Raw genomic sequence first — 14238 nt, 5'->3', positions numbered from 1 at the left:
TTATATTTAGAAGGATTTGCTTTCAGATTAGATTTTGCTTTCACAGAAAGGGTCAAGAATTACCTTGGGGTTTTTATGAGCAACTGGAAAGATGGAAGACCATGGATGAAGCAGGTTTTAGGGGGACGATCACGAGTTCTTTGAGCTTGTTTGGTTTGAGATGTCTATGAGATAAGTGAAACAAGCAAATGCACCACACGTTTGAGATGTCTGACATTCATTATAACTTCCTTGATTTCATGATAAATAGATAATTATTCTTTACTTTAGAAACATCATTGACCTAGGCTGAACTAACTGTTCTCTCGAAGGCTTAGATAAAAATATATTAGGTGCCTGATAGATGCAGACTGGTGCCTGCAGCTATATTTACTAGTATTCTTCATTATTCCCATGGCATCTAATTCATGAGCAAGTTCATAAATAACTCCCATGTTTTTCCCAGATTGTGAGCCTAAGATTACAGAATGTATTTTTCATGTACTTCTTTTGCATGTATTATCCAGGAGAAATAAACTGATATTTTAAGTGCTTTCATCATAAAAATAGATATATAGAGGCAAATGTTATTGGATAATATAATATTATAGTACAATATGTCTACAAGCCAGTTATATTGCATTTCTTAACATGTATTAGGATTTTAAACTCACAGATTTCCTGCTTATAGGACATATCAACTTTGGAAAAATGCAATAAATGAATTTTCAAAAAAGGAATTGAAAGATGAGAGCATTTGGGCTAATGAGTCTCTAGGGAAAATACAGTTGCAAGTGTTAAGATAATATGGTAGTAAGTTACAAAGAGAAGATGATCTAATAAGATTTTCCATTTACTATTCTCCAGGGGCTAGTGTTATAAAAGCAGCTCATCTGCTCGGTTAATTTTTTGAAGAGCATATTTTTGGTTTGGCAAGATAAATGTTCTATGTTTTCTCTCTAGTTATTCATTAAAAACAATTCCAAAATAAAATGAAGTATGTTTTAAACTTTAACTCGAGAGTGTTGAAGAGAGAAAACTCTTACACTTAGAGAATCATATTCAGCTTTGTATTGGTAATTACTGTATTGTTTATTTCCTATACTATTTATTAGCCATATTCATCCAGGAATGTAGAAATGTAAAAACTTAGAAAGGATCTTATAGGATCTTCTTAAAGGATCATCTAATCCAGTGCTTATCAAGTATTACTTACTGTGAGCTAGAGTATAAAAAATGTTTTATATCATGGCCCAGTGTATATTTTATATATATATATGTGTGTGTGTCTGTGTGTTGTGTGAGTGTGTGTGTATGACCCAAGCAAAAGTTTCACAAAGCAATAGTTACCTTTAATGTGAAATATACTTCACCATGTTTGATTTTATTCTTGTTATTTTTTATCTCCTTTAAAAATTGTTTCTTCTAGCCAGGAATGGTGGTGTTTGTGTAATCCCAGCTATTCTGGAGGCTGAGGTAGGAGGATTGCTTGAACCAGGCATTCAAGAGGCCAGCCTCAGCAACATAGCAAGACCCCATTTCAAATTAAGAACAAAAAAAATTGTTCTGTTTTTCCTTACAGAAGTAACAACTCTTCATCAGCAAGGGATGTGCCTTCTCAGGAATACCTTTGCTTTTCCCATATATTGTCTGTCTTCCCTTACTTCTCCCATAATCATCAAAATTTCTGATAAGGTTCAGAGAGTACAGTAAGATAGACCACGACAGATGTCTCTCTTCTTTTTTGATTTTTTTTTTTTTTTAAGACAGGGTATCACTCTGTTGCTCAGTCTGGAGTACAGTGGCGATTTCTCAGCTCACCACAACCTCCGCTGCCCTGGTTCAAGCGATTCTCCTGCCTCAGCCTCATGAGTAGCTAGGACTACAGGCATGGGTGACCACACCCAGCTAATTTTTTGTAATAGAGACAGGGTCTCACCATGTTGCCCAGGCTGGTCTCAAACTCCTGACCTCAAGTGATCTGCCTGCCTCAGCCTCCCAAAATACTGGGATTACAGGCGTAAGTCACCGCACCCAGCCCTTTTTTAATATTCCTAATGGCTAAGGATATTGATGAGAGATCACTGACTAACTTGCAATACATAGTGGAAGATAGAATAACAAAAACATAAGGCAAGAAGAAAGGAAAGTTGGAATCACCAATCAAAATTCATAAAACAAATGATATTAATGCAAAATTTAAAGAGGGAAGGAAGATTTTTCTATATAAATGACTATTGTTTCAATACTCTTGAAATGAGTATCAACTTTTCCAAGAAATGAAATTACCTTTTTAGAAAACAAAATAAGCAGAATGGAATTATTCAATTAAAATATACAACAGGATAATCTCAAATTATTTTTCAAAGAAAACAAAGAATGTTTCCAGATATTACTAAATCTATTATTTACTTTACCCTTAAATTTATGTTTTTATTAAAAATGAGCAGGACAGAGTATTACATGAATTACCTATTTACTTTTATATTGTTTTAGTCTTCTCTGAGCTTCTATATTTAGCCATTGATGACGTTTTTCTTTCAAGCAAAAGAACTGATTGTTCTTTCATGCTGTTTGTAGTGTCATGTGATAGATGTGGCTGATACCCATACAGTCAACAGTTACTGATCATATCTCCCACTTTCTAATTTCTTCCCAGGTTGAAATTCTCCCAGGTAATAACTATTTTGACCCATCAGAAACCCAGTTGGATTATCTAGGCTTCTAATTAGTGCTGGCTTATAAAAGGCATAATGATTTCTTCTAGTCAGTACTGAATGCTATTATACTAATCTGATCCTGTAGATATTGAAGATAATCTAAACTTGGCTTTTAATCTTGAATCAGGAGTGGGGTGAGGATTTGGGAATAAGGATGGAGACCATAGTCACCAGAGTTGATATGCTTTGACCTTCAGGACTTATCTTGGGATCCAGTAACTTTCTTTGTGTACTTTTAGAATAGTTTTTAAAGTAATATGGATGGCATTCCCTATGAAGTTTTCATATAATAATTACATTTGATTATTTTAAAAAGTTAATTTTCATTCCTATTAAGTGTAAGCAGTCAATTGCTTTGAAATATAATTTAATTTTAGTTGATATTAAGTTTACAAGGTAGATTTTTTGTCATTACAGGAAGAATATCTGAAATTTTACTATAATTTTTCAATTTCTGATATAGAAATTAATTTTAACTTTTGAGTGATGAATAATTACTTATTTGGCATTTATAAATGGGGCATATTGCTAAATAGTTTTTCAAAAATACATATCCCTTATGTAACTTTATGTGTTCAAATAGCTAAAATTAGAACAGATTGTGGCTTCTAAGCCTGACCACTTCATTTGTTTGCCTTAGCCAGCTAATCAAACTCCCAATTTTTTATGCTCAAATGTTAAAGTTTCATGTTAAAACAAGTAAAAAAAGACAAAGTATAAATGCTATGTAGGACTCTTGACCTTAATAACAACATAAAAATTAATATGTATCTATACCTGTCTATATTTCTATTCAGTGTTTTAAAAATGAACATCTCTATTTCAAAAAAACAGCATATATTTTTTCTAATGTACTCAAGTTAATATATTTTATACTGGGAAAATGAAAATCAAATGGTGTCATTTTATTAACTGTATTACTTGTGTTATAGGAAATACTTTTTAAAAAACCACATAGAGAGATTTGGCTTCACTTTTCTAGAAGTGTTAGTTTGATTTTGAACTTAGTTTTCAGTGCTTTTGTGTTTTCTATTTGAAAAGTTTTCTCTCTAGAAGTGAGCAGCTTTGTCATAAATAAAGCCAGGAGAATAATGGTTGAGCTGAAATTTCTCTCCAGAGAGTGTAATTTGACTGTTAAAATGTTCTAATACTAGTGTGTGTGTTTTTACATTTTTAATGTAATATTGAAAAAAGTGTATGTAGATATAAAATTAATACATATATGTATATATTTATTATTTTTAATTTACAAATGAACTTAATGTTGGCTTCCCTCTTTTGGGGTAGACTTGGCGTGTTAGATGGCCTAACTTGGCTAGTGCTTGTTTTAGCTATGAATTATAATTAACTACTGATGGGAATATAAAAAGGATCTGACTTACAAGCTGCCATTTTTGCATCCCAGTATGTGAACCAAATCCAACTACCTCAATCTTTGAAACACAGCAAAGCTAAAAATGCAAATTCTGCCTCATTAATAACCAGGACTATTACTCAGAGCTGACAAACAATGATTATGAGGATATAATACAATCTGTTCTGTATGAATTACTCTATTAGTATCATGATAATATTGGCAGCATTGCCCTACCATGCTCAGTTTTAGAATTTTTACTAATTCTTTCTTACTTTCTGAGGTCAGACTCATTCTTTTTTTCTGCTAAATTTGCTTATGATATTGAAAAACGTATTTGAGGACAATGTGGTCAATCACACATTTCAGATTAAGTCTTTTCTGTTTATTTATCTATTGTTAGGTAACAATCCCCATCCCAGATTTAATGGCTTAAAATAACATCAGTTTATTATTTGTGATAATTCTATGAGTTGACTGGATTCAGTCAGTTGGGTGCTCTACTGTAGCTGAGGTCATTCATGCAGTTTCGTTCAGCTATGACCTCTGCTAGTAATAGAATGTCAGAATTATCTCTTATCCTCAGAGGTTTCTCTTCATGTGGCCTCTTGTCTTCCAATCGAACCTGATCTTTTCTTTTAGCACAGCAAGTGGTTTCCAAGATTACAGCTCCAATGTAGAAAACATATTAAGGTTTTGCTTGCATCACACATGCTACTCACTCAAAGCAAATCACATAGCCAAGCCCAGAGGTAATGTGGGAGGGGACTGCACAAGGACATGAATAATGATAGACATAGTCCACTGGGGTCCACCAATGTAATTGACTGCCTCCTCTCCATAATAAATTTTAGTGAAGAGGAACAGATAGTGAGTTTGGGTTGTATGGCAGAGTAAGAATCAGTATAATTTGAACCAAATAATATTTTATATAAATAATTTCATAAAATTATAATTAACAACCTTGGTTTTATTTTGTGTGGGGGGTACTGTTAAGAAATGGAGGAGGAAAGAAGTAGTACTGAAATAGAAAACATTGACTTTGTATCCTGTCAGCCTTTTAGGAAAGATATTAAGTCTCAATAAAATAATATATTCCTTTTCTTTTGACAGAAGTGTTTCTAACATGTGTCATCAAAATGGATAAGGTGTACCTAATCACTGTTGACACAGTTTCTACTTGGAGTTTAATTTTCCTACTCTTTTCCCTCTTCTCCCTTGCCCATTCATTTCCACTTCCTCTCTCTCTCTCTCGCTCGCTCTCTCTCGCACACACACACATACACACCTTTTTGTCCATGTTATCATAATGTCCATGATGTGAAAGTTAATTTTTGGAAATGAAAATGATTTAAATTTATGATATTTTGTATGTTGGGTAAGCTTTCAGATTCTTCAACTTGCTAGCATTTTTGGTACATTAAATGTTCTATCAGATAAAATAGCTGAGTCACTGGCAATTCTCATATTCTTAATTTGAAGTGGAAAAATAACAATTTTCTGGGGCTTTAGGAACTGTATAGAGAGACAAATGTGGCTTTGTATCCTAGACATCATCTAGCTACCTCTGTACCCTCAAAATTATAGCATCACATTTTAAACCTACAGTCAAAATGGTTTTCTTTTTCTGTGGAAATTGTCTGTTACGTACTTGTTACTACTTTTCTTTCTCTAGTCACCATAATAATTTTTTTATTTCTTCTCTTTTGAATTTTTTTTGAATATTATTTTACCCTGACAAACCAGTTCATATCCCACCAGGTATTTGGCAAGTAGTTTGTTCACAGAAAGGTTTCAGGGAGCCCACGTAGTATTCTCAGTAAGAACAAGGTCTTTGGAATCATCCAACTCTACATTTTGGTCCTAGCCAGGCCAATTACTTGCTGTTAACCTGGAAGTTTCCTCCATACCTCTAAGCCTGTGAACATTCATTTGTAAAAGCTTATGGCAAAATGTCCTTGTGGTGCTTGCATATATTAAATAATATAACTCTTGCAAAAATTATTTGCATTGTGCCTGACAGTAAGAACATAAGTTTTATTATATCTTTTAACCCCTTAAGTGAAATGAGGAATTAAATAGAAAACTTCTATCATATTTAATTAAAATTTCTCAGATCATACAAGGACCATGGTCTATTTGACCCCTTCTTTATGGAGCTAATATTTAGCTAGAAACTGCAATGGAATAATGCAAGAACACAGAACAGGAAGAGAAAGCAGCGATCCTGCAATCATTCAAATGTGATAATACATGCAGGAGAGAAAGGAAAAGAATTAGGCCATGGGTCAGCTAACCTTTGGAACTATTTTTAGCCTCAGAAGCACTTTTATCCCCCTTATAAATTCCATACTTAAAGTTCCAGAATTTAAAATTTGATGAGAACTGTTGTGCTGTTTCAGGTTGTGAAAATTCATTTATTCATACACGTAATTTTACCTTTGAGCAAACTTCAAAAAGAATGACTGCCAAAATGTATTATAACCTGTTTTCTCAAATGTTTTTCTCATTCTCTTTTTTAAAATTTCTCTCTAAAAACGTCATAGGGACAACTGTAATTAGGCTAATTGCGTCCACTCATATGTGCAGCTTATGGCAATAACAGAGCAGTCATAGAAAGAACGAGGTGCAGTATGCTTCAAAATGCAGCATCTGCAGTGCTGTCAAGGCCAGCCATGCCGTCAGTCTTGAGCTAACAGCTGTGATGAACAGAATGTTGTGTTATTCCTTTGGTGTGAAAATGAATTGACAGTTATTTATAGGGAATAATTAATGTAACATTTTGTAAAAGTAAACATGATTTTCAATCCTTGAGAAACTGTTAAAAAGGAAAAAAAGAATAGGAAATGAAGGATACTTTTGACCAACAGAAAAGGCTTGAAGAGAAATAGATGATGTCTACAACTAAAACACTATCTTCCAGACCGTTTAGACATACCATCAACTCTGAGAATAATAGTTGAAGAGTTAAACATTTTTAAAGGAAACAAACCCATCCTCACAGTAATTGTGAACATGTGGAATGTCTCTGTGAAGACTATAGTATCTACTTTTGTTAATATAGTAAGTAAAAATCATGACAATTTCTTATAATTCTGTTTTTTCAGTTCATTATTTAAAATAAGAGAGTGGAAGGAAGTAGGGTGGGACATAGGAAGGAAGGAATAAAGGAAGGAAGGAAATATGTATATATTAATCCCAAGTAAATATGATGCTGAATATGTGATATGAATAACACATTTATTCATAATCTCGCATGGTCAAATGGCTGGTTAGACATATTAGAGATTATTTTGGAATTGTGTGATGCAAAAGAAGTAAACTTGGCTGAATGATTTGTCTCAAACCCTTATCACATGTTAGCTGGTTAAGTGCTTTTGTATCATGTGTTTGATTATCATGTTTCCATCTGAACAGTAACTCCTGACTTGTTCAAAAAATAATTGATTTCTGAATGATGATATTTAGTATTAATTAGTATTAATAAGTGAATGGAAATAATTTTAAGAAAATGTTATTCCCAGGATAGACAGAAATTATTGCTACTTCTCCAGTTGTACCTGAAATATTCTCCTCTGTTCAGCTGTATACCTCTTCGATCTGGACACCTGAGATCCCACCTGCACCTAAGGCTTTTACCTTCAGACAGTGGAAGAAAGTAATGGTGATTTCCTCCTGGTCAGATTGTAGACTTTACTTTTCAGTTTAACTTTGATAACATGGGAACCCATCTTATTTTCCAGAATAATTGTTATGAGTTCTTTAAGAAGCCATGCCATTATTTAAGTTCATTTGAATACATACTGTATTATAGCTGCTAAGTGAGATATCTCTGAAACTGTGTCATTCAAGAAGCCAGTGAGCTATCATCCATGGCCCAGCTTTCTTTATTGTACTAAATGATCATTAGAAGATGCACCATCAAACCAAACTCTTTATATTCTTCAGCAGCATAAGTTTAAGCAAGGCTAGCAGGCATCTCTGATATTGGCAACGTGAAGAATACCTTTCACACCATTAAAGTGATGGAAGAATTGCTTATGTAGCCATCTTCTTATTTTATTTATATACATTGTGTGTGTGTGTGTGTGTGTGTGTGTGTGTTATGTGTATATATAACATATATATAGCTATCTTTGGTGAAAATTTCCATCCCAAAACCTTCTATAGTAAATGCTCAAAAACAATTTGATGAAAGACCATCTACTATGTGCCAGATCTCTGTGTGGGATGCAAGACTTATAAAATATGGTTCCTGTTGGGCAGTATTGGTGACGAGACTATATACTGAAGAAGGGAAAGGTATTAAAGGTAGTAAATAAAGATAAAATATGCTGCATGAATGACCTCAAGGGTGGCACTGTGACAAGTAAGATAAGCGTGGCAGGGCAGCGGGGACTGCAGTGTGCTTACATTTCATGCACTCAAGAGCTAAGTAGAGGGTCTGAGACTGAACTGTTGGCTGCATTCCCAGTCACCTACAGTATAGGCCTCCTCCTCATGTTAATAACAATAGAAAATTCATATTTTACAAACTATAATCTATCTAGAGAGGGATTCAGAAAATATTTTAATAGGAGGCCAGGAATGAGATCCAAAGGGGATGGAATTAGATGATAAAGCACAGAGATTATGTTAAGTCTATGAGCCTGGGCATTGAATGAGTACTACAGTCTCCTTGTATAAATAATTTTAGTTTGTGTGATAACCTGAATGTTCTTATAAATTCACATTTTCCATGTGGTGGTCATCAGTGCATGGGAAACATAACAGGTTGTAGTAGAAAATCATTATTATTTTGTGGTGACTTTTGTAAAAGCAGTTGTGTCCTAAAACTTTGTTGCTTTCCCTGCCTTCTTTTGCTCCCAGTGAAGATCAAGCCACCACTTCAAGTGATTTGGATACACAGGAAGAATTCACTGGGGCTACCAGAGGTTGGAAGGTGGGAAAAGGGAGAGGAGCAGAAAGAATAACTATTGGGTACTAGGCTTGGTACCTGGGGGACAAAATAATCTGTACATCAACCCCCGTGACATGAGTTTACTTATGTGGCAGACCTGCACATGTACACCTGAAGCTAAAATAAAAGTAAAAAATAAAAATAAATAAGCAAAAAAAAAAAGAATTCACTCTCTATGAAGGATAACTGGGACAAGGTGTGGGGCTTATGAACAAGTAAATAGCAGATACAGCGGTTTGTAGTTCTACATGTGTGATTTAGTTTAGAGTTATCAGTTAAAGTCTGGCTCATTGAAAATTTTAAAGTGGCATTAATTTGAGAAACTAGTAAATTATTTTAGCAAAAGTTCAAGCTGTACATTTTGGGCTAATGACTTGGTAAATGGATTTGGGTGACCTGAGTAAATAAGTAACATAACAAAAACTGTGTTTTGCCAGGTTGGCCAGGGAGTGCCACCTAGAACTTCTTGGACAAAAGGGAGAACACAGGGAAACCATTTCCTAGACTTGGAATCATTCCTCTTACTGTCTGTTGTAGTGACCAAGCATGAGTTGGTGAAGACTTGGACTAAGGTGATAGCAAAGAGAGTGGCAAGGAAGTGAAAGAATTGCCAGAACCTGGTAACTTTGAGTATATGGATATATATTATAATGATCCTTAACATTTGTTTAGTATTCACCTCAAAATTTGTGGATTTTTATCTCATTTAATCTCAACCATTTTATAAAGCATAGGTACTAATATCATTACAAGTTAAGCAGTTTTTTTTTAAGATCACATAGTTACCAGTTTTCAGAACCAGTACCCAAACCTTAGTTCTATCTGAACTCAAGCTATGTTGTAAAAGATACGGACGTATCAAAGGCTAAAATAAAATGTAATGCCAACATTTCTAGCTAGGAGACATATGTCCATGTGAAGTGGGGTTTAACGTTGATCGTTGGAATAGGTATAACACAATTTTTCTTCTCTTATTTTTTTCTAGTGCGACTTCATGATAGCATATCAGAAGAGGGCTTTCACTACTTGGTGTTTGATTTGTAAGTATATACTCTGTATTCATTATTTTTGCAATCTAATTGAGGACCGTTTTGAATTAATGATTTTTCTCACTGTACAGTCCAAATTACTGACTGCTACAATATTTTTTAATGTTCAAGTAACATTCAACTCTAATTCTTTTGAAAAGAGGATACTACTCAGCATTGTTTTATTTACAATTTAATTTAACCTTAATTTGAATTAACCTTAACCTAAGTGAAATAGTTATTTCTCTTTGCATTGTCCGTTGTGATGTCATGAGTGGTTCTCAATTCTACCTTGTAGCACAAAAATGTTTGACATAAGCAAAATTTTCCATTTAATTTTTAAGAGTATGTATAATTTATTATCTTAAAGTAAAAAGAAGACTCAAGGAAGAAACTTGGATTACCAAAATTGATTTAAACTAATCAAGACTTTTAAAGTGAGGCGCTGTCAGCAAGAATGAAGGGAAAATAATGACTCTTGGCAGGGATATAGTGGCAGGGATATAGTAAAACAGGCCACACATATGGTTGGTAGGAGTTTAATAAGAACATACTTTCTGGAAATCAATTTGGTGCTACTGTGCTCATCAAAGGGAATAAAAAATGTTTGTATCATTTGACTTAGTAATTTTACTCCTCAGAACAAAGTCCATGGAAAGTATACCCTAAATTCAGTTAAAATTTTATGCTGAAAGATGTTCATTGCATCATCCTTTATAACGGGGGAGAAAAGAAAAGAAAGAAACCAACTTAAGGATCCAATTATAGAGAAATAGCTACATAATTATAGTATATTCATATAATGGACTACTGCCTAGCATTTTAATTTGATGCCACAGAGTTTTGGGAAAGATTTAAAAAATTATTTCACATGATATGAGTTTGAAGGTAGGTTAATACTAGGTTTGGTTAATTCAGTACTTCAATGATATCATTAAGAAACCACGTTCTTTCCATCTGTCTGTTTTTAGTATTATGTGGGTTTGTCTTCATGTTTGAGTTCCCCTATGGTCTGAAATTGACTACCACATTTTCAGTTATCACAGTGACTTCCAAAGGCAGAAAAAGGGTAATCCAAATTCTATTGCATAAGTTTTTATTCATGGAGAAGTCTTTCTCAAGAGCCTCTCAGAAGATATCTGTTCAAGATTCCTTAATTAGAACTGCTTCTCAAGCCCACACTAAACCAGGTATTTGTTAAGGGAATGAAATTACAACTGGCATTGACAAATAATAATTTAGTCTGTAGATCTGGTGAGGGAACTGGCCTCTTAATCATGTGATACCCAGTTCAGAACTAAATTGTGATTTTGTTATTAAGAAAGAATGGGAGTTTTATCTGTTGGGTAGTGTCATGCGCATCCATGTGAAGAGACCACCAAACAGGCTTTGTGTGAGCAGTAACGCTTTTTAGTCACCTGGGTGCAGGTGGACTGAGTCCAAAAAAGGAGTCAGCAAAGGGAGATAGGGGTGGGACAGTTTTATAGGATTTGGGTGGGTAGTGGAAAATTACAGTCAAAGGGGATTTTTCTCTTGCGGGCGGGGACAGGGATTACAGGGTGCTCGGTGGGGAGCTTCTGATACTCATTGTCCAGGAGAAGGAATGTCACAGGGTCAATTGATCGGTTACGGTGGGGCAGGAACAAATCACAATGGTGGAATGTCATCAGTCAAGGCAGGACCTGGCTATTTTCACCTCTCCTGCGGTTCCTCAGTTGCTCCAGACCATCTTAATGCGTACCTGCAGGCTTGGGCTCAGAGGCCTGACAGGTAGGCAGCCAAGCATATCTGCCATATTTAGAATAGAGACTAAAGCGCTACTTCTGCACAATCCTACTGCACAGGCTCCTCTCCACAGTCCCAGTTCATCCATGTCTTGCTCATGTGGCCGTAGTTTCATCTGGCTCTATGTTGTTCTAGTAGTGCTTCCTCTTCAGTCCTTTCTCAGCTCTTGTTTTTACTTTTTCCATTATTTTTTCTTCCTTTCCAATGTTTGAGTCCCTTCTTTTATGATTTTTTTTTCTTGAGCTTTCTTTAGCCATTCTTTTAGGATAGGTATGCTAGCAACAAATTGTTAGTATTCCTTTTTCTGAGCTTGTCTCGATTTCCCCTTTATTCCTGAATGATATTTTTGCCAGATATAGAATCCAGGTTGAGAGTTCTTTCAATGTTGTGCCACTTCCTTCTGGATTCCTTGATTTTTGATGAGACATCTTTGTCATTCTAATTGTTTTTCCCCTAAAGATAAGGTATTAGTTCTCTCTGGCTGCTTTAAAATTTTTTGGTTTTTGTTTCTTTTTCTCGTTGTCTTTGGTTTTTAGGTTTGTCTATGATGTATCTTGCTTGGCTTGGATTTTTTGGAGTTTACTTATTTGGAGCTCACTTAGCCTCCTGAATGGGTCCATCTTTGTTTGGCAAACCTGGGAAACTTTTGGACATTGTTTCTTTGAATACCTTTTTAGCCCTACCTTCTTTCTCCCTTCCTTTTGGAACTCTGATGACATGAGTGTTGGATCTTTTGTTAGAGTCTAAGAGGTCCCTGAGGCTCTGTTTGTTGTAGTTTTCCCGTAGTCTGTTGTCTTTCTGTTGTTTAGTTTGGGTAATTTATTATTGTTCTGTCTTCAAGTCTGATTGTCTAATTCTTTCCTCTGTTGTTTTTTTTTTTTTCTGAGACAGAGTCTCACTCTGTCACCCAGGCTGGAGTGCAGTGGTGCGATTCAGGCTTGAGTGCAGTGGCGCGATCTCTGCTCACTGCAACCGCCGCCTCCTGGGTTCAAGCGATTCTCCTGCATCAGCCTCCTGAGTAGCTGGGATTACAGGCGCGCGCCACCATGCCGGCTAATTTTTTTGTATTTTTAGTAGAGACGGGGTTTCACCATGTTGGTCAGGCTGGTCTCCAACTCCTGACCTCGTGATCTGCCTGCCTCTGCCTCCCTAAGTGCTGGGATTACAGGCATGAGCCACTGTGCCTGGCCCATCCATTGAGTTTTTTATGTCAGTTATATTTTTCATTTCTGCAGTTTCCTTTTCTTCTTTATAGCCTCTATTTCTTTGCCAAGATTCCCTTTTGTTTGTTTGTTTCAAGTGTGTTCATAAGTGCTCTCTGAAGCATTTTTTTATTATGGCTGATTAAAAATCCGTATCAGATAATTCTGACAGCATTGTTATCTTGGTGTTGCTGCCTGTTGATTATCTTCTCATTCAAATTGAGATTTTCCTGGTTCTTGATATGATGAGTGATTTTTGGATTATATCCTGAACATTTGGGGGTATTATTTTATAAGACTTTGGATTTCACTAACTGTTCTTTAGCAGGCCTTCTCTCATACCAGAGTAAGCAGGTGCCATCTTATTACTGACTGATGGGGGCTGTAGTCCAGGTTCCCCCCACAGCCTCCACCGACATGCCTGGGTGGTGGTTCCTTATGGCTAGGTGAGGTTATTGGAACGCAGGGATTTTTATTTTTTCTATATTTACTGGGAGCAATACACCTACCATATTTTTTAAGCAGCAGACATGTTATTTCTTAATACATTTAATTTGTCAGATCTTTGTTTTGCAGATCAAGGTATGGTATTGTAAACTGAGATATGTCCTTCATGCTATGATGAATGGTGGAATAAAAAACACTTTTGTGAGTTCTCATTACTTAAGTAATAACATTCTGAAGTGAGTTTGATCACAGCTTGGTCAGGGAGGAAACACTTTTTTCTGTCCTTTTAGGTTCAGTGCCTGGGGCATGAGAATTAAACAAGAGAGAGATTAACAAGAGACAAGGCATATAATTTGTATTAATATTTATGTGCATGGGAGTTCACAGAAAAGAAGTGAAACTCAAAGAAGCAGTTAGGCTCAGGCTTTTATACCCTTAAAAGAATTTGGGCTTCAAGAGATAATGGAGAATTGACTTATGGAAAAGTGACTAGTAAATATATGAAGGAGCTAATGGAAGATAAGGGCTATTTTAGTAAGATCTGTTTCTGCAAACTCATCTGCTGTCGACTCCCTGTCTTCTGTGATGAGTCAATCTTTCTCACTGGTGTTGGGGAAAGAGAGCATCTTCCTTAAAGGGAAATTTATTCCCTGCTTTTAGGCAGATAAGGGAGGGCAGATAATTCTCTCTATATCTGTTGATTCTCACTTAGCTTTAGCTCAAAATAATCCTTATGCCAAAGTGGCATATTTGGGCGTGATAT

The 14238-nt window shown here is 35.3% G+C and overlaps 1 protein-coding gene across 53 annotated transcripts in view; it reads left to right on the top strand.

The window, feature by feature from the left end:
* Positions 1–14238, top strand: part of CAMK2D (calcium/calmodulin dependent protein kinase II delta) — a 310707-nt gene that overhangs the window by 142534 nt on the left and 153935 nt on the right. For all 53 annotated transcript variants that reach the window (NM_001321578.2, NM_001321577.2, XM_017008674.3 and 50 more), the window contains one exon: positions 9999–10053. Coding sequence is in view for 48 of the 53 variants with exons in the window: in NM_001321577.2 (NP_001308506.1) it covers positions 9999–10053 (55 nt within the window). In the remaining 5 variants the exon portion in view is untranslated. The remainder of the gene's footprint in view (positions 1–9998; positions 10054–14238) is intronic.

This window comes from Homo sapiens, chromosome 4, assembly GCF_000001405.40.
Source record: "Homo sapiens chromosome 4, GRCh38.p14 Primary Assembly".
In the NCBI taxonomy this organism is placed as follows: Eukaryota; Metazoa; Chordata; class Mammalia; order Primates; family Hominidae; genus Homo; species Homo sapiens.
This window is presented reverse-complemented; position numbering and strand designations above follow the sequence as displayed.